This window comes from Homo sapiens, chromosome X (genome assembly GCF_000001405.40).
Source record: "Homo sapiens chromosome X, GRCh38.p14 Primary Assembly".
Classification (NCBI taxonomy): domain Eukaryota; kingdom Metazoa; phylum Chordata; class Mammalia; order Primates; family Hominidae; genus Homo; species Homo sapiens.
In genome coordinates, this window is record NC_000023.11 from 45,681,425 (window position 1) to 45,682,742 (window position 1,318).

The window sequence follows — 1,318 nt, forward strand, 5'->3', positions numbered from 1 at the left end:
TTTTTGTAGAGATCAGGTCCTTCTATGCTTCCCAGGCTAGTCTTGAGCTCCTGAGCTCGAGCAGTCCTCCACCTTGGCCTCCCAAAGTGCTGGGATTACAGGTGTGAACAACCACACCCAGCCCGAAAAACAAACAAAGTTTATTTTAATTAGTTACAGCTTATAATTTACATGGCTGATTTTAATTGGTTTAACTAACTCAATCACCTACAGTCACAGAGTAAGATAATTTCTGGATAGACAATAAGCTCTTACTATGCAGAACAGGGTGGAGTTCCAGACAACTGGCCCTGGAACCCCATCCCCTGAGTTTGGATCCTGGAACTATCCTTACTAGATATATGGCCATGTAAAAGCTACTTGAGTTCTAAAATATTTCCATTTTAAGTAATATCAGAGTCTTTATAAATATTCGGATGTACTTCTAATTATTGACACAATGAAATATATTGAAAGCAATGAAATATATTAAGGGCACATTCAATATTGGGTTGCTGTGAGGGTCATAGCATTGGGCAGTCTCAGAAGTCAGATGGAGGTCTTCTTCTAAGTTCCTGAGCTATGAGGGAGGATGAAGCAAGACTTTCATCACTGTGCAGTGTGAAGACAACACACCTAGTATTCAGAGTGTTGCGGTTACCTCCACACTGAGGGATCAGAGACAATCTTTGCATGGCATTTCAAGGACACTTTGTAGGAGGCCAAGGTCCAGGCATGTGATGCAAGGGAAAAAACATTCCATTTTTAGTGAATACATTGAAGTAAAGAAGTGGGTGTCATATACACAGAACACAGCATGCATGAAGAAAAGCCCTAGATAACAATGTAGGAAAGGCAGGTGGGTGCCAGGTTGCAGACAGCCTAAATAACAGGCTGGAGAACCACCCCTCTTCATGCCTGCATTTGGAACCATTAGTCTCCTTCCTTTTCTCCGTGTAGTGCAGAGTAATGTCCGCAGCCCTCTCTTGTCCCAAGAAACCACCCTTCCATTTCCCACTCTAATAGACGTCCCTCTGTCTATCCACTCAAACCCTTCCAACTTTGGGTAGTGGAGACCTGCCTTTTAGTCCATGGGCCAATGAGAACCAAGGTTGGCACTGATAGCTGGAATCTGTTTGTGCTGCCAGTCAGCTTTCCAGCAAGTCCAAGGGGAACTTATGGGGGCCCATGTCACCTCCAACTCCATCCTCCACCTCTATCCTCAGAGTCAGCCAACCTCCCTTGACCCCATAATGTGGTTGCCTGGCCTGTGTGATCTGACTTCTTCTGGTGTGTTTTTGAGTCTCTGGAACCAACTCTAAACCCCACCCAGTTGCTC

The 1,318-nt window shown here is 44.8% G+C and overlaps 1 annotated feature.

The window, feature by feature from the left end:
- Positions 460-754: a silencer, noted in NCBI's record as "tiled region #11747; HepG2 Repressive DNase matched - State 24:Quies, and K562 Repressive non-DNase unmatched - State 24:Quies". NCBI's record gives its function as "represses a minimal TATA promoter and a strong SV40 promoter by Sharpr-MPRA in HepG2 and K562 cells {active_cell/tissue: HepG2 | K562}" and the evidence as "EXISTENCE:reporter gene assay evidence [ECO:0000049][PMID:27701403]".